The sequence below is a fragment of the Homo sapiens genome, chromosome 4, assembly GCF_000001405.40.
Source record: "Homo sapiens chromosome 4, GRCh38.p14 Primary Assembly".
Taxonomy (NCBI): domain Eukaryota; kingdom Metazoa; phylum Chordata; class Mammalia; order Primates; family Hominidae; genus Homo; species Homo sapiens.
This window is the reverse complement of record NC_000004.12, coordinates 40966122-40985748: the sequence shown is the minus strand read 5'-3', so window position 1 is coordinate 40985748 and position 19627 is coordinate 40966122. Positions and strand designations below refer to the sequence as shown.

Below are 19627 nucleotides of genomic sequence, written 5' to 3'. Positions count from 1 at the left end.
TAGAGAGTTGGTGTGGTGAAATTGCAACAGAATAAAAAAATACTATTTTAATTTCAGTGTTTCTGGTAAGAAATCTGCCTTTACTAATGACTGAAATGGACCTGGTTTTTGTTTTCCCCTTTATTACAGTTTGTGGATTAGTCGGTGTATTGAACATGAAATTCAATATAACTAAAGTGGGTTTTAAAAGATAATGAAATCAATACTAACGTGAAAAGACTTGTCTTCATCAGAGCCACCCCACAATTGGCCCTGTGCTCTCTGTTGCTGCATACTTAGGTCCTACAGTTCTTCATGTAACCGCCTGAAAAGCTCTACTTTTCTACTAAGAATAAATAATCCTGCTGAAATGGACCATAGGTAACTCAATTAAACATAGCTTCCTACCACTGGGTTGTTTAATTATTTTTCAATAATTAAATAGATAGATTGAAATTTTATTAATTTATTAACTGCATTTTTTTTTAAGAAAAGACATACTCATTGAAGACAAAGTTAGGAAACATAGATAAACGTAAAATTTAAAGTCATCTGGGGCTGGACACAGTGGCTCACGCCTGTAATCCCAACACGTTGGAGGCTGAGGCAAGAGGATCATGTGAACCCAGAAGTCTGAGACCAGCCTGGGCAATATGGTGAAACCCCATCTCTACAAAAAAAAAAATTAGCTGGGTGTGGTGGTGCCTTGTAGTTCTAACTACTTGAGAGGTTGAGATGAGAGAATCACTTGAGCCACGAGGTTGAGGCTGCAGTGAGCCATGATCACACCACTGCACTACAGCCTGGGCAAGAGAGTGAGACCCTGTCTCAAAAAAAAAATCATCTGTAACTACAACAGAGATCAAAACTGTTATGTAAATGCTAAATACGGTGTTCACCAAGAGGGTGTGATTTAAAAAAATATCTAGTACCACGTATTTTTAAAATTAATTTCATGTACTCCCCACAACATGAGAACTGGGGTATGTCAGCCTCTTTATGCAAACTATTCTTTACCAAAAAATAAATAAATAAATAAGAATAAGCAATGCACTGAATTCCCAGCTTTGTCTGGGCAGTTTTTCTTTGCCCCTTTGCTACTTGTTAGCTGTTACTCCACTCCTTGAGGGTTCCAGGGGCCTAGATAGCTCTAGAAGAACGCTTATCACTCCATGGTGAACCAGAAAACCATTTCTGGCCTGTATTCTTTTCACAGAATAAAATGTTCTTGAGTGGGAGTGTCAGGGAATTTGGCCTCCCTGACCTCCCTGACCCCCCACCCTTCCTTTCTTTGGTGGAGGAGTTCCTTTGGCCAGGGACCACTTAACTTCTTTCAAAATCCCAAAATTGTTGCTTATTTTCCATGATCAACTTCTGTTTTTCTCAGAAATTAAGTCCTTTAAGTTCCCTGAAAGGTAGAAGGAAGACTCTGAACTCACTCAAAAGGTAACCGACTCTGGGCTCAGTCACATGAACTTTTGTAAGACACACAAATGTTAACGATCCAGACACTGGCCAGCTTCCCAGGAGTGCAGCTCCTGGCATTTCATCCATGACAACCATTGCCCTGCTTCTACTGAGAAAGGGTTTCTGTGTCTGTGTCGTACAGTATGTATACTGATGAGCCCTCAGCTTCCAAACCTCATCCGGCCATCCCTTGCACAGGTAGTTGTGCACTGCTGCTTTCTTTTGCTTCTAAAGATCAAAACCAAGTTTTGCATAGTCTGAGGATTAGTCCACCCCCAGCACTTTAACCAGATGGTTGCTGACGATGGATTCTCTTTGGATCATTTAATTAACCATTGAACTCACTAGCAGTTTTGCAATTACAAATTTTTTTCCCTTACAAGAAACCTCATGATTCAGGGATCAAAAACACCATAGTTTAAAAAAAGTTAGGCACAATGGCTCACGCCTGTATCCCCAGCACTTTGGGAGGCCGAGGCGGGAGGAACACTTGAGTTCAGGATTTCGAGACCAGCTTGGCCGACGTGTGGAACCCCGTCTTTACCAAAAATACAAAAATTAGCGGGGTATGGTGGCATGCACCTGTAGTCACAGCTAGCCAGGAGGCTGAGGCAGGAGAATTGCTTAAATGCAGGATGTTGAGGTTGCAGTGAGTAGAGGTGGCACCATTGCACTCCAGCCTGGGCAACAGAGTGAGACTCCGTCTTTAAAAAAAAAAAAAGTCATAATTAACAGGACTCTTCGTTAAGAAACTTGGACTCCCTGTGACATTGTACTAAGTCAGCTTTAGCTGTTTTGTCCACTACTGAGAGAAATAATATTTACCTACCTCCTAGAATGATAGGGAAGAGAATTTCTGTGAAATATCTGCTATTTCCCAATATTTTACATTTAAATTATAAAAATGTGCATTTCATTCTTTTTTCGAGAAACAGTACTCTTCAGAATATGGATGTGAGGGTAGATTACTGTAAGAACACTTTTAAATCATCTTTGCTCTGGTGTCTGTTCTGAAGGGAGAATGAATAGTGTGATGGTTAAGAGCACAGGCCGTGGAGCAAGACTGCCTGGGCTTGAATCCCAGCACCACCATTTATTTCTATGAACCGAGGCAAGTCACTTTGCCTCCCTGTTCCTCATTTCCCTGGACTGTGAAATGGCGAATTTTGAGAATTAAATGAGTAATAGACATGAAGTACTTAGAACAGCATCTAGTTAATTCATGGTAAGTGCTCAATAAAATGTCAGCTGCTTAGTATTTTCATAGCCCCAAATCTAGGTAATGGGTCCCCCATGTCTGCCTTCATACTTATCCACCTTCACCCTGCAGGTCAGGCTAGAAGGGCATGACAAAGGGCCATCGCAGTTCCCTAGAGAGGACAGAGTGACTCCTTAAAGTCCAGGTACATGGCAGGAGCCTGTCACATGTTGAGGGGGAATGGTTTGCTACTTTTGTACTTGCTGCATTTGGATAAGTGAAAGGACTTTTGGAACTCTGATATTCTTTTTTTTTTTTGAGACAGGGTCTCTGTTGCCCAGGCTGGTGTGCAGTGGCGTGATCACAGCTCACTGCAACCTCAACTTCCCAGGCTCAAGTGATCCTCCCGCCTCAGCCTCACAAGTAGCTGGGACTAGAGGTGTGTATCACCTCTAATTTTTGTGTTTTTGGTAGAGACCAGCTAATTTTTGTATTTTTGGTAGAGACGGGGTTTCACTGTGGTCCCCAGGCTGGTCTTGAACTCCTGAGCTCAAGCAATCCACCTGCCTTGACCTCCTAAGGGTTTTGCTACATTGGGAGCTGGTTTTGCTACATTGCCCAGGCTGGTCTCTGGTCTCAAATTCATTCATTCTTTCTTTCTTTCTTTCTTTCTTTCTTTCTTTCTTTCTTTCTTTCTTTCTTTCCTTTCCTTTCCTTCCTTCCTTCCTTCCTTCCTTCCTTCCTTCCTTCCTTCCTTCCTTCCTTCCTTCCTTCTTTCTTTTCTTTCTTTCTTTCTTTCCTTCCTTCCTTCCTTCCTTCCTTCTTTCTTTCTTTCTTTCTTTCTTTCTTTCTTTCTTTCTTTCTTTCTTTCTTTCTTTCTTTCCTTTCTTTTCTTTCTTTTCTTTCTTTCCTTTTTTTTGAGACAGAGTTTCACTCTTGTTGCCCAGGCTGGAGTGCAATGGTGTGACCTCGGCTCACTGCAACCTCCACCTCCTGGGTTCAAGCGATTTTTACGCCTCAGCCTCCCAAGTAGCTGGGATTACAGGCATGTGCTACCACGCCCAACTAATTTTTGTATTTTTAGTAGAGATGGGGTTTCACCATGTTGGCCAGGCTGGTCTCGAACTCCTGACTCAAATGATCCTCCCTTCTCGGCCTCCCAAAGTGCTGGGATTACAGGCAGGAGCCACTGCACCTGGCCTGGTCTCAAATTCTTACGCTCGAGAAACCCTACTGCCTTGGCCTCTCAAAGTGCTGGGATGCATTAGCCACTGTGCCTGGCAAGTTGAATGGCATTTTAAGGCATATTCCACTTTACTGCTTGTTCTGCGTATAGGAGAAGCATAGCCCCCAAACAAGAATGTAACTGCTGCAGTGGAAGAATTACAGGGGCTCCAATTGGAGTGAGTATGGGCAGACCACATGAGGTACATCATCATGGTGGCCTCATTGTCTGTTGGTAGCAGAGACCATGCATACAACCCAAATGAACTAATCACAGACCTTTGTGAAGTGGAATTTTTTTCCTTAATGTGTTTGCATATTGCTGTCACTACGAAGTCATTTTATCTTTAATGCTTAATTATCTGTACTAATGGAGGAGAATATTAGTGGGGAAAATGTAACAACACTGATTCATTTTCAGCTTCCCAATCAACATCAGTAGATTTTACATCATTCTGGATTCGAATTAATTCTGGCTTGCTCTGTCTCTTTTTTTTTTTGAGACAGGGTCTCACTCTGTCGCCAGGCCAGAGTACAGTGGTGCGATCTCAGCTCACTGTAAACCTCCACTTGCCTCAGCCTCCCAAGTAGCTGGAACTACAGTCGTGTGCTACCACACCCAGCTAATTTTCGTATTTTTAGTGGAGATGGGGTTTTACCATGTTGGCCAGGATGGTCTCAATCTCTTGACCTCGTGATCCGCCCGCCTCAGCCTCCCAAAGCTAATTCTGATTCTCTTTCTTGCTAACCCTAGCACTATAAACAAGTTACTTGGCCTCATGTTCTTCATTTATAAAAGGATGGGCTTGGCCAAGGTAGATTGTTGGCTTGCAGATTTAGTGTGCAGAAGATTCAGTGTGTTATAAATGTGCATTCCCTGAGTCTCATCCCAGAGAGATTCTGATTCAGCGGGGTCTTTAATTGGGCCCAAGAATCTTCATTGTTAACAAGAATTTCTAAATGAATCTAATGCAGGTGGTTCTCTCATCCCACTTCAAGAAACTTACTTGAAATATCTCCTAGTCAAGAAAAGAGATTGGAAGCTGGAATAGATTTGAGAAAAAGCCTGAGTTGGGGAAATAGTGCCTTTGGACATTTCTTATTGCCTTCTTTGGTCCTTATACCCAAAGCTATACAATTCAAATTTCATTTTATGCCCATGTGCAGCAGTTAAGCCTTGAGACCACAAGCACAATTCATTAGATTGCACAAAATAAAGAAGAGATCTATCTAACTTTAGGGCTATAATTTCTACTGTTTTTGACACTGTCCCAAACTTTCCCCTCCTTGGTATTATGCATCCTTGAAACAAACAGTTGTACCCAAGTTGGACACTCATTGGCTCTGCAGTTGGCTCTGCAGTGCCCCCTCGTGGGTCCTGTGTGGGCATTCTTCCTTTTCTCTCATGCCCATAGTGGGTTGGCTACTGCTGCTCTCTCCAGCCAGAGTTGTAGAAAAGTAAATGAATCCAAAGTGGATGCAAAAGAAATAATGAGGAGATGGGGAATCCTTTCCAGAAATGCATGAACTAGAAAAGACTAAGAAAGTTCCAGCTAGGGCCAGGCGCAGTGGCTCATGACTGTAATCCCAGCACTTCGGGAGGCCAAGGTGAGTGGATTGCCTGAGCTCAGGAGTTCGAGACCAGTCTGGGCAACATAGTGAAACACCTTCTGTACTAAAAATCCAGAAAGTCAGCCAGGCGTGGCAGCGTGCGCCTGTAGTCCCAACTACTCAGGAGGCTGAGGCAGGAGAATTGCTTGAACCGAGGAGGCGGAGGTTGCAGTGAGCCGAGATCATGCCACTGCACTCCAGCCTGGGTGACAGAGTGAGACTCCGTCTCCAAAAGAAAAGAAAATTCCAGCTAGTGGTGAAATAGGCAAGTAGTTCCTGGTTTTGTTCCAAAAAACCTAGGTGTCTTATATTAGTTTTCTATTGCCGCATAACAAATAATGACACATGTAGCAGCTTAAAACAACGTCCATAGCTTCTGTGTGTCAGAACTCTGAATATGGATGAGCTGCATGCTCTGTTGGGAGTCTCACCAGGTTGAAATCAAGAGCTCAGCCTTGACTGTGATCTCTTCTGAGACATGGGGTCCTCTTCCAAGCACACTTGTCGGCAGAATTCATTTCCTTGGGGTTGTGTGATGAGGTCCCTGTTTTCTTGCTAGATATAAGCCAGGCTCACTTTCCATCCCCAGAGGCTGCCCTTTGGTCCTTGCTGTGTGGCCTCCTTTTGTACATGGCAGTTTACTTCTTCAGGGCCAGCATGGGAATATCTGCTGCTGCTTCTCTCTTAGGAGCTTGCCTGATTAGGTCAGGCCCATCCAGAATACAGAATAGTCTCTTTTTAAATTAGAACAAAAACAGTTGACTATGGATCTTAATTAAATATGTAAAATCCTTTGAAGCTCAGAATTCAGAGATAAAAATAAGTAAATAAATACGTAAAATCCCTTCACCTTACAATGCAACATAATCACAATAGGATATTTCTAGGTCTTGCCTATAGTTGGGGGAGGGAACTGTTCAGAGCATGTGCATCAGGATGCAGGAATCTTAGGGCCATCTTAGAATTCTTTTATGTGTCCAAAGATTGTCTGTTGTATGTTGGACATCAAGTCTTTTAGTTGCTAGCAACTCCATAAAAATATTAATTTCTAGAGATCTCAAATTAATTGTACAGATTCTATTATACAGCTTTTTTGAGACATGTTGTTAAGCAGAAAAAAGTATATAGCCTTCCTTCCAGATTCTTAAACTAGAGAGTGTTAGAAAAACTCAGAGCTCATCAAGTTACCCGAACTCATTGTGCAGATGAGAAACCATCTCAGTGGAAGAAACTTCCCAAGGTCATGGAGCCAGGAAAGGCTGAGAATCCTTTGGCTCCAGTATTAGGGCCTTTTCTATCATTACTTTTCCTGTGTATCTCATAGTTTTCTTTTAAAAAAAAAATCATGAGTTCCAAGTACTCTTATTAATCTGCAGTTCATTGACTTTAATGAGCAATTTTTTTTGTTTCCCGTAATTGTATTGAATTAGAACATTTTTCATCTAATGTGTATACGAATTAGTTACTAACTGAAATGGAATCTTGGAGAAAATGAGCTTTTGCTTGTTTATTTGTAAGTATAAAATCTTCATAATTTTCATGATGACTCATATGGTCAAGGAACTGTGGAACTGAGGATAGGGATAGGAAGGAACCACAGAAAGCTTATATGATCCAGCTACCTTGCAAAAAACCCTTTTCGTGATTGACGGTTGGATTGACATTTGTTAAGTAATTTTCCACGCTTTTTTTTCCCAAGGAAAATATTCAGGAATGCTTGATTTAAAAAAAATACTAATTTAATTATAAATATGATTGAATATTTTTCTCTTTTTTTCTAGAGTAAAATCTTGTTGATAAGACAGTGTTTTTCTCTAGTGGTTTGTATTCAGGCTTCCTCTTCAGTCTCACTAAATGGCCTCACAGGTGGGTAGATGCATTTGTCTTGAAAGGTGACTGTTACCAAATACAAATCTTGTAGATGCACATTTATCTTGAAAAGTGACTGTTACCAAATAAAAATTTAAGTTATATCTCAGCATGGAGACCACGGCTCTGGTCAGGTAGGAGCCAAATGTCCTTAGCCTGAATGTGTGACTAGAAGAATATGTGACTTAGTCCAGTTTCATAGCTGCCTGATTTGGGGCAAGCTTGCTGACTTGGGTCTGGGCACCACATCTTTGACAGTTGTCAAGTATGCTGTGGGCTAAATACCCAAGGTTAAGAAAACAATCCAGGCATAGGCTATTTCTGGCCACCCTTTCTTCCATCTTCTATATGAGCACCTTGTTGTAGGTACAAAAGAGAACATTTCTATTATATTTACACGAGAGTTGCTGAACCATTTTTCCACTGCTTCTACCATGAAGCCTCTGATTGCCTGCCACATCACTATGTCACACCCTCCTGAGCCTTGGAGCTGGAGTTTGTGTTTTACATTCTATCTTATATGAAACTCCTGTGCACATTTGTTTTATCTCCATTAGAACTAAGGCTCTTTGAGGTGACAGCAATGTCTCCAGTGTCTTTCTGGTGATCATTTTTATATCTGTCACACACTGTAGTCATTCCTAGCCTCGGACCTCTTGGGAATCAGGTGATATTTCAGTCTGTATGTACACCATGTGTTTTATATGTGTGTGACTCTTTTTCAAATATTAATATATATAGACGCTCTTGAGACTATTAAAACACAAGTTTCTTTAAAAGTTTATTGAGACCAGGTGCAGTGGCTCACACCTGTAAACCCAGCACTTTGGGAGGCCGAAGTGGGAGGATCACCTGAGGTCAGAAATTCGAGACCAGCTTGGCCAACATGGCGAAACTCTGTCTTTACTAAAAATACAAAAATTAGTTGGGTGTGGTAGTGGGTGCCGGTAATCCCAGCTACTTGGGAGGCTGTAGCATGAGAATCGCTTGAACCTGGGAGTTGGAGATTGCAGTGAGCTGAGATTATGCCAGTGCACAGCTGGGGAGACAAGAGCAAAACTCCGTCTTAAAAAAAAAAAAAACAACTATATTGAATTCATTACAGTATGGTTCTTTTCTTAATTAGTATTTACTAAGAATAAAATAAAAGACACCTACATGCTTCCATGTTGAGAGCCACTGCCCTTCAGCATCTAGCAAGGTGCTTTGCATTTTGAGATATTTCCTCATCTCAAGCCTTCTTTGGCTCTGTGTTTCTTCTGTGAGGTATGTGAAGAAGATGGACAGTGCATTTCCTTTGTATCAGTAATAACCATTTCAGTTCTTTAATAATTTGAATGAAAATCTATTTTTTTTTGAGACAAAGTCTCTGTCACCAGGCTGGAGTGCAGTGGCTCAATCATAGCTCACTGTAGCCTCGACCTCCTGGGCTCAAGTGATCCTCCCACCTCAGCCTCCCAAGTATCTGAGACCACTGCCATGAGCCATCATGCTCAGCTAATTTTTTTTATTTTTTATAGGATGGGGTCTCACTATGTTGCCCATGTTGCTCAGGCTGATCTCAAACTCCTAGGCTCAAGCTAATCCTCCTGCCTTGGCCTCCCAAAGTGCTGGAATTACAGGCATGAGCCACCTTGCCCCATCTGAATAAATAGGAAATTAATGTTCACTTCCAGCCCTAGACTGGAAGCTCCTGAGCCCCAGTGCTGTGTCTGTTTAGGATCTATTGCTTAACAGATTGATGACCCTCACATAGGAAGTTCAGTACACATTAGTGGTCAGAGGCTCCATGATCACAGCTGTTAAGTGTTTTTAACTGCTGTTTAATCTCTAGGCACTTTACTAATTTTTAAAAGTTGGAAATTCCTATGGTAATATGATTCCCAAAGAAAGGTCTCCAGTCCCTTAACTAAAAGATTTAGAATACCTTAGCTAACCTTAGAGTTAAAGCAAAATGTCTGCCCCCTGGTGTCAGATCAACAACTAGCATCTTAGCTAATTCTCATAGTGAGTTCCATTAATTATATGATTTAGTTTTTACAGTAAATTATACATTGCACATAAAATTAAAAATAAGCACCATTTTAAACTTGCCACTCGCTGCTATGAAACTGGGATTTTTGGCTTATATTCAACATTGTTGGTTTTTTTCATGTCTAAATAATAATTTGAAATTAAAGTCTAATTTTAGTAAATTTTCTATATGCTATTAACTCTGTAGCACTGAATTTTATAGAGGAGAGAAATAATGAAGGTTTTATGTGAAACAAAAATAGCCTTAAACATTATTAATATTTTATGAGTTTGTATAAATCTTCATACTGCAGATAGTTTTCCTAATATTTTTGGCCAGAAAGAAGGATAAAAATTCATTTAATAAAAGTCTTTGAATATTTCCATATTTCTATATTGTGTGGGGAAAAAAAGAAAAAAAAAGCATTTGAGTAATGTAAATTTACTGGTTTGGATTAAATGAGAATGAAAGTATTCATGAGAGTCCCTAGAATCAGTTAATCCAAGTCCTGGGTTAAGAAATAAGAAATCAGTAGAGAATTTGTTCTCTGTTTTTGTAGAGAATGAGGTTTATATAGGGGAAAGTAGAGTGGTTGTTGTGTGTGTGTGTGTGTGTGTGTGTGTGTGTGTGTGTTTTCTTACTACATTTAAATTCTTTATTTACCTGAAAGCTGTTTGTGTGCACTGTAGGGAAGGCATCATGACGTGATGGTTCTCTTGCTAGGCCAACTCTAAGATTATATGAGATAAAGCATGTGGAGTATTTCATACAGTGCCTGGGGCAGTAAGGACTCATAAATGTTAGAAGAGGAAGATATTTATTAATAACGTGCAGCATGTACCAGGGATTGTGCTAATGATACGTCCATGAGGTTTATAGCCTCAAGGAGCTGAAATTCTATTGCAGAAGTCAGACAATAATTAAACACAAAATTAGACAAAAATGGTTGTGATTAGTACTCAACATAGAAAAGCACTGTGGTGCAGGGGAGTGAGGGGAGAACTGGATTAGTAATTTGAAGCCAAAAAAAGGGTGAAAGCCTTTTGAGAAACCAAAGATAGATTCCCTGTTGTCCATATACTGGAACACGTTCAATTCACTTATTGAAGACTCTCTGGGCCCTTACTCAAGGCCTGTTTACTCGGATTTATGTACATTTCTAACATGGTTTCATAGTTGACAAGACATTATTTGCAGTGGGTTAGAAGAGAGTGGATGGTGGGAGGACGGATCAGCAGAAAAAATAAGCTGATAGAACCAAGCCCTCTGGTATTAGGGAGTGATAGCCTAGCATTGGGGTGGGGAGGAAGGAGAGGGACCCAGACCAAACCCTAAATGCTGAAAGGACATGTCAGTTAGCAGTGGTAGAGACAAAGGGTTGAAGTGTCTCTTGTTGTAGCAGTTAGCAGTTGTAGCAGAAATTGGAGAATATTCTGCACATTTGGGATAAAAGGGGTATGTAAGTAAAATCATGTTTTGAGCACTTTTTTTAATAAAGCAGAGAAATGATCAATGAGCATCAATGCACATGCCCCTCGGCATTTGTAATGTAAGGTTGCTTTGGCTCCACTAGAAATGTGAGTTCCTTAAAGGCAGCGACTGTATGCCATTCTTACTGTGTATTCTCAGAATTTATGTTAGAATCCAGCCCAAAGTAGTGAGTCGTTCAGTAGATATTCTCTGATCATGTTAGATTAAAGAGGTTTACTTCTCCAGACAGATCTTCATGGAGATATTGGAATTAGATATGCCTGAAATTGGATGTATAGGCAAGCTGTAAGTTCAGCATCCCTTCTTATAATTCTATAACAGAGAAGTGGTTAGGCAACTTCTGTTCTTTTAGTCTCTGTTTACTATAATAAAACTATAAATCTTTCTCCTTTTAAAAAAGTAGCTGTATATGCCATTTATTAACTGGTTTACTGATTTGTTGGTCTGTTTGAGCACACATGTATTGCTCCTTCTGTGTCCTTGGCCCTGGGCTAAAACCTGAGAGTATAGTGTGGTGAAGATTTCTCCCTACCCTCAAACAGTTCTGGTATCTCTGAGTACATTCACTATATTAATAAGTTGAATTGTGTCCGCCCAGAAAGATACATTGAAGAGCTAACCTCTGGTACCTATAAGTCTGACATTATGTAGGAAGAGAGTCATTGCACCTGTAATCAAGTTAAGGTAAGGTCATTAGAGTGGTCCTAATCCAATATTTAGTGGTGTTCTTAGAAGAGGAAATTTGGCTGGGTGCAGTGGCTCATACCTGTAATCCCAGCACTTTTGGAGGCCAAGGTGGGTGGATCACAAGGTCAGGAGTTCGAGACCAGCCTGACCACCGTAATGAAACCCCGTCTCTACTAAAAATACAAAAAAATTAGCCAGGTGTGGTGGCGCGTGCCTGTAATCCCAGCTACTCGGAAGGCTGAGGCAGGATAATTGCTTGAACTTGGGGGGCGGAGGTTGCAGTGAGCCGAGATCGCGCCACTGCACTCCAACCTGGGCGACAGAGTGAGACTCTGTCTGGAAAAAAAAAAAAAAAAGGAAATTTGGAGACAGACACACACACAGAAGAAAGAGAATGCCAGGTGAATCCAGAGGAAGATGGATATGTGAAGACAGGCAGAGATTGCAGTTGTGCTGCCACAAACCAAGGAATGTCTGGGACTACCAGAAGCTCAAAGCAGCAAGGAAGAATCCCTCCTTAATGGTTTTGCAGGGGAGCATGGCCCTGCCAACACCTTGATTTTAGACTTTTTGCCTTCAAAACTATGGAACGATAGATTTCTGTTGTTTTAAACCACTCAGTTTGTGATACTTTGGTACAGCAGCCCTAGGAAATAAATACAACTGTAATACATTTCTGTGTGAATCAGAGACCTGGTGGGAAATAGGTGATGACTCCAGTGAGACACAGGGGTGAGAGCACACTTAAGAAAAACTTCCAAGGTATGGGGAAGGCTTCTAGGGTTGGCAGCGGCAGGTTTTCATTAGCACGTCCAGGCCTGAAGGGCTAAGTCAAGAGAAAGTTCTTGGAACCCAGGTAGAGCTAGATTGACACCTGTGAATTTGAGAAGATGGCCTGACTAGTCCAGGCTAACTTGTGCCATGGTAGAGAGGAAGCTGGGGTGTTAATATCCTGACCTTCTTTTCCCAGGCTCTCTGATCACTTGCTGAGCCTCTTATTGGTCGAACCTGCCAAGAGAGCTCATTGATGTAGTCCATAGAGTTTACCTCAGGATACACAGCAGGGTGGAAAAGAGGGAGGGTCGATCTGGAAGGGAAATTGGAGAATATTCTGCACATTTGGGATAAAAGGGGTATGTATATGTCATTCAAATATATGTTTATGGGAAGGAAAGAATCTAATGTGTAAGACAGTGTTTATTGTACATACCACTGGTTCTCAACAAATACTTCTGATTAAGGATATAAAATATCTAGAAATGTTTATGTTGCAGTCTAAGATTCAAGGCTGTGGAATTCATTTAGCAAATTCTTATTAAGCACTCACTGTAGTGCCAAATCTTAGACAGGCCCTGGGGATAAGTACTGAGCAAAATTGACTCTATCCTTTGCCTTCATTGAGCTAATAGTCTAATGTCACCAACTGTATTCACTAGGGTTAAAACTTCATGGGATTCGTTACTTCTCTCATGACACACAATGTAACTGGAAATTACTAACTGGATTCCACTCTTCACCTGTGGACTGCAAGCTTTGTGAAGTCAGCAGTGTGGTTGCCTCTGTTTACTTCTAACACCTAGTTCAATGCCTGGTTCCTGGCACATGTGCATTGAATGAACTGATGAATGAATACATGAATGAATGAATGAGTGCCTTGTATTTACTATTTAGGAGTTTCTGAAAATTAGTGGATGACTTAAAGTATATAAAAGTGGACAAATTAAATATATTAGGGATTTTGCTATTTTATTTATTTATTTATTATTATTTTTTTTTTTTTTGAGATGGAGTCTCGCTCTGTCACCCAGGCTGGAGCGCAGTGGCGCCATCTCGGCTCACTGCAAGCTCTGCCTCCCGGGTTCATGCCATTCTCCTGCCTCAGCCTCCCGAGTAGCTGGGATTACAGGCGCCCGCCACCACGCCTGGCTAATTTTTTGTATTTTTAGTGGAGACGGGGTTTCACCTTGTTAGCCAGGATGGTCTCCATCTCCTGACCCTGTGATCCACCCACCTCGGCCTCCCAAAGTGCTGGGATTACAAGCATGAGCCACCACAGCCGGCCAGGATTTTGCTATTTTAAAGGATTGTTGGATTAATCCTGTATAAAATTGAGCAGTAAAAATAGTCTATAATTTATCTAAGTGTGGATTTTTATTTGTGGGAATTTTATTTTTTGTTGAGAGCACTTTTGTTCGATGTTAGAGATTGAAACCAAATATTATATTTTAGTTTTCTCTGGTCACTCTTCTTATGAATTAATTGTCCCGTAAGGATACGCGCTAAAGTTGAAGCTCAAATCTGAACATGAAAGGATTCATTATGCACTATAGGCTTTTCATACCTATTAATAAGTCAATGGTTTGAATGTAGATCAAGAATTTAAGGGATTACTTTCACTAATTTTAATGTTAAAGCAAAATATCTGCCACCTGGTGTCAGATTAAGACTCAAAAGGTGTCAAAAGAAGGGGATATATGATAGGTTTTCTTTCTCTACTTTTGAAACATTTTCTAGTACTAAATTAGAGATATTAACTCCTTCAGGCCTCTTAAGTTCTATTGCTAAATAGAGATCAGTGCTCCTTTGATGACCATATAAGGAAAACGTTTCTGGGAAAAATATTGCAGAAGCCATGAGCGGTTATGTTATCTAATAGCCTCAGAATGGGAAAATTTAAAGAGAATGGAAAGCAGCTGACATAACCATTTTCCCAGAGAAAGCTCCTCCTGCTTCTGCATAAAGATGTATAATGTAATCCTTAGAGATCTCACTTCAATTATTGTGTCCTTTATTCGAATGAATAAGTAGAGAATTTAGTTTTTGCACTTGTCAGTACTATAACATGCCTTCTCAGCTTAAAAGTAATGGAGGAAATTACTTGTAAAAAAATTAATGAAAGAGATGAAAGATAAGAGAATTCAGGTTTAAAAAGTCACTGGTTTGTTTCTCAGTATGTTTAAATTTTAGGATTAATTTTTTTTCTTCCTCCTAGAGTTCGAGTCTCATAAGAAAGAATCGTGTTAATAGCCCCCGTTATGTTTTGCTGGAGTTTATCAGTCGGTAGAAATCTACTGAGCAATAAGAAGATGTTTCATAGCCTTGGTATAGGAATCATTGCGAGCTTGAAGGTTCACCCATACTAGGAACTTCTAAGGTTACAAGTATGTATGAAGGAAAATGCTTCTTCTCTTGAGACATAAACTGTAAATAAATGGCACAGTCAGAAGGGGACTGTTTAGTTATTGGACCTTGGAGAATTCTTAGAAGACATAGGGGCAAATGTATATGTACTGTCTGAGAGAGAGGAAGCCCTCCAATGTTTGGGAAGGGACAGTCTTTGGTTTTGCTGGACTTAAGGTGATGGTTTGCCTGGGACTGAGGGGTTTCCTGGCTTGTGGGACTTGCAGTGCTAAAACTGGCCAGGTTCCAGGAAACGAGGGCAGTGGGTTACCCTTAACTAACGTGACCTGCTCATTGCAGGTCACTTAGTGTGCCTGGCCTCTACCTACCAGTGGTGCCTCATTGTGGGAACCCATCACTCCCATACATTTTCATGTGTCCCGAGATAGGAAGTACCCCTCGGGAGAACTACTCTGAGTCTAGCCCGTGGTGTCAGAGCATTCTAGTCTCACTGGCAAGACCATTGCTGAAGTAGAATGGATGCATGAAGCTGTCTTCAGTCTTAAAACAAACAAAACCCAAATGCAGTTAGTTTAAATGCCTTTGGTTCAAAAAAAAAGGAGGAGTGGGGAGAGGTTGCAATGTTAATCTAAAATCAATGCTTGGAAAAAATGAGGAAATTGATTCTGAGGAGAATGAGAAAAAAAATGAGATTGAAACCATACTAAACGGGGCATCGAGTGCAGTGCCATGCGAAAGGAAGTCTTTCATTTTGTTCATAAACGTTTAAGTCAAGTTCTCACTTATTCATGATCCTTATTAAGGAGTAATTAGTGGTTCCCATATAATCTTCAAATTAATTTATATAGTCATGCCAAGATGTCCAACTTTTAGAAGATTTGGGAGGGTAGGAGGATTAAGGGACTTCCAGGATAATGGGCCCTCATCCCTCTTCCCCATCTCCTTTGAATAAACGGTTGCTTCCTAATGAGAAAACAATCCTGTAGAAGGGATGAGGATGAGGGCAGAAAAAAGATGGATCCCCTCTGACGTAGGCAGGTTTAGGGTAATATCAATACATGTAAGGGCAGGATATGTTTTGAAAAATCCCTGACTAATTACAGGGCTGTTATACAGCACTTAAGTATGTGTTATCATTATATGTGAAGAATATAGATGCAAGCACAATTTTATTGATTGAAAAAGCCCAGCCTGATTCTATTACTTAAAGGGATTTTAAAGATATTATATTGGGTAACCTTGGGTTGAAACATGTTCCCTTTACAATCCAAAACTGGTCAATGTATTCTTTATTTAACCTGATTGATTCTTGTCCTCTCCCTTTAAACATAAGCTTGTTCACAGAGATACAGCTGGAAGTCATGTTGTCATGACAACAGTTACACGCTGGGAGGAAGGACTCTTTAAAACATCCAGGGACTGGGTTTTTAATCACTGATTTATATTGATAGCAAAATTAAATGGGGATGCAGAATTCATAATTATATGTTACTTTGGCTCCATATTTTCACTTATTGACATGTAATTTTTGAACACGTTAGGATAAATAGCTTTTTACACTTATACAAATTCATCTCATCTGTTGTCTATGTTGTCAGTAATAATAATCTGAAAACATATGGATTTCCCTGCTCCAAACTCTTGATAGCATTGTGTTGCCTGTATAATAAATTCTAAACTCATGAATGTGGTACATACAGTCCTGCAAAAAACAGCTTCCACTTTTCATTAGATTTTCTTCTTAAAAGCATTTATTATGGATCTCACACATGTAACTTCAGGGTCCTTAACTTCAGGGTGTAGGAGCTAAAGGAGGTGGGTGTGTCACACTAGAAACTATAATGCTAAGTTGAAATTTGCCCTGAATAATTTGTCTCTAAATGGAGATGGTAGTACAGAGATGTATTAGTCTGTTTTCACACTGCTGAAAAAGACATATCTGAGACTGGGTAGTTGATAAAGAAAAAGAGGTTTAGTGGACTCACAGTTCCATGTGGCTGGGGAGGCCTCACAATCATGGTGGAAGGCGAAAGACACGTCTTACATGACAGCAGGCAAGAGAGAATGAGAGCCAAGCGAAAGGAGAAATCCCTTATAAAACCACCAGACCTTGTGAGACTTACTGACCACCATGAGAACAGTATGGGGGAAACCTCCCCCATGATTCAATTAACTCCCACCAGGTCCCTCCCAGAACATGTGGGAATTATGAGAGCTACAATTCAAGATGAGGTTTGGGTGGGGACACAGCCAAACCATATCAAGAGAGGAACAGGTTTATTTCAACAGTGGGTGATTAGGAAAAGTTTTGTGGAGGAAGTGACCCTTGAAGAATGAACAAGTTTTAGTGTCAGATAGAAAAACAGGAGATTCCAGCCCATAGGACCAGCAAAGGCACAGGGATACAGATATGTAAGGCATGTTGTGAGACCAGTGAGTGTCCATTTGGATACTGGATTGGAATGGGGCATAAGGAAATGAGATGGCAAAGAGAGGAGAAGCCATATTGAAGAGGGCATTGCATGCAGTGCCATTCTAAAGGAAATCTTACTTTGCACAGGAAGAGGAACAAGAATTGGTTGAAATGGATGTTCATGAGAAATTAATAGCTGTAGTATGATTAGAGGAAGCACTGTAGTCACAACAAGCAGTCATAAAGCCAGTTTTGAATCCAAGCGAGGCCCTGGAAAGTGTAGACTGAGGCACTGTTAAGGAGGTTAGCAAGCAGAGCATGCATCTACGAGCACTGTACTTTTCTGGAGTCAGTTTCTGAAATACAATTTTATATATTGACTAATAGGTACTCAGGAACATAGGTTCTGGTATATGACTGCCTGGCTCAAATCCCAGCCTACTGTTACTAGCTCTGGGACCGTAGTCAGTTACTTCCCTCCTCTGTTTCTGCTGTAAAATGGGGAGAAGATGACACCAACCTTAAAGGGCTGCTGATACACAGTAAGTGCTTAGAACAACAGTGCCTGGCACACTGTCAGAACTTCAGTAAATGTTAGTGTGGCTGCTGCTGTTGATGAAATGTGAAAACACTGCTCAGTGTTTGGCACTTTTTATGCTTTTTAAAAGCTATCTCAAGAATGTAAATTATCGGACTCTATTTCTACCCAGCATCTCAGCCTACCCCTCTAAAAGCCCTCCCTTCCACTTGATGGGTAGCTGTTGTCTAACCATTATGTCCCAGGCACTGTGCTTAGTGCTAGGGGTACAAATGTCACAGGATCCTTGGAGGTGTAGCTCTTCTGGCATGAAACCTCTGGCTGGTTGCACCTTTGCCCGAGTTTTGCTCGGGCCTGCTGGGCTCATTCCACCCACTTGGCCTGGGAGACTGCACTCGGCTCACGCTTCTAGCCTGGATCCCACACCTGCCAAAAGTGAGCCAGACACGAGTGGCAAGGGCTGTGTGAGTGAGCATGGGGTCCGGCCACTGCACACAGCCAGGCATACCTAGCTGTGGTGGGGCAGGCAGCTCCAGGTGCTGGCATGGGTACTGGCTCCCTGTGAGGCTGTGGCTGGACCAGGCATACTGCAAGTAACTTCCATGGCTGGCACCAGTAAACGCATCGGTGCCCAGAAGCTTGGAGATGCCAGGAACCACAGAGCCCCAAAGAGGGAGTCATAGCCCTGGCTCAGGGAGCTCCTAGGCCTGGGCTCCCCAAAAGGCTGCAGCTCTTTTTCTCATTGCCTGCAACGTGGCAAGCAAGGGGCGTGTTTCAACCCTGTTTGTGTTACAGCTCTTTCAGCCCTGCCATTCTGCAGGTCCCGAGTTCTTGTCCTACGTCCAGGAAGAATGAGGTATGCAGACAAGTAGAGGGTGAGCAAGGTGAAGAGGTGCTTTATTGAGTGACAGAACAGCTCAGAGGAGACCCACAGTAGGTAGCTCCTCTCCACAGCCAGGTCATCCTGTTGTCTGCCCAGCTCTCAGCAGAGAGGAAACCCACTGGGTTAGCGCCTCTCCACAGGCAGGTGATCCCATCATCTGCCTGAGTCTGGCTGAACCTGGGGTTTTTATGGGCTTCAGAGGGGAGGAAGTGCATGCTGACTGGTCCATGAGTGACCATGGGCAGGCCTAAAAAAGCACCATAAATTCTCACCCTGGTCCATGGAACTGGCAGCCCAGCCCCTAGGCCTCTGGTTGTCCCTGGCCTGAAGGTGCGGTTTCACTGTGGACCTGACCCTTTCTGCCCAGGAGCCTATCTGCCTCCTGCCGCCATTAACCTGCCATTCACAGTGCCCATGGTGCCCAGGCTGTTCATGCTGAGGGGTGCCTGCAGACCTGTGCCGAGCCACCCTTAACCTCCCCTCAGCCTCTCTGCTGTGCTTGTTGGTGCCCAAAGTTTGGAGGGGGCTGAGGCAGCAGGGGGCTGGTATGCCAGCACTGCCTCAAGCACGCACATGCCCATCCAGGTTGTGACAGTGCCCAGGCTCAGCCACAACTGCTCCAAAATTGGAGTGGGGAGAGGCCAGGCAGCAGGAACAGGCACTTCTGAGCCTGCAGGGGCAGGGGGCTTTCTAGGCCCCCAAGAGTACAGAGATGCCTGGGTCCACATTAGCAGCTGGGTGGCTGTAGCTGCGCCCAGGAGGGTAGTGCCCCCCTCCCTCCAACTTGGAAGGTGGGGCAGCATTCACCTGTTCCCAACTCCCTCTGGCTGGTGGAGTCCACAGCCCTGGCCATGCCTCCTCCACTGCAGCCAGCATCATAGCAGCACTCCAGATGGGCTACCGCTGCCATCACAAAGACGAAAATGCAAGGATCTTGTCATAAAAGAGTGTGGCAGCCTTTACTACATAGCAGTTCGTGCATACAAAGGAGTGTGAGGAAAATAGTACACATGTGACAGAGAGAAAGAACGAGGGGGGAGGAATTACTGAATATATAATCTCTAAATTGTTAATACAAAGGTCATTTTGATTATAAAAACACCTCCCAGTAG

General features: G+C 42.1%; 1 protein-coding gene across 51 annotated transcripts in view, besides 1 other annotated feature; it reads left to right on the top strand.

The window, feature by feature from the left end:
- The window catches only part of APBB2 (amyloid beta precursor protein binding family B member 2), a 404516-nt gene that overhangs the window by 228794 nt on the left and 156095 nt on the right, over positions 1–19627 (top strand). The window lies entirely within an intron of this gene.
- Positions 18618–19580: an enhancer, noted in NCBI's record as "H3K27ac-H3K4me1 hESC enhancer chr4:40968186-40969148 (GRCh37/hg19 assembly coordinates)". NCBI's record gives its function as "activates a minimal SCP1, AML or CMV promoter by ChIP-STARR-seq in naive H9 embryonic stem cells {active_cell/tissue: H9 hESC(naive)}" and the evidence as "EXISTENCE:reporter gene assay evidence [ECO:0000049][PMID:30033119]".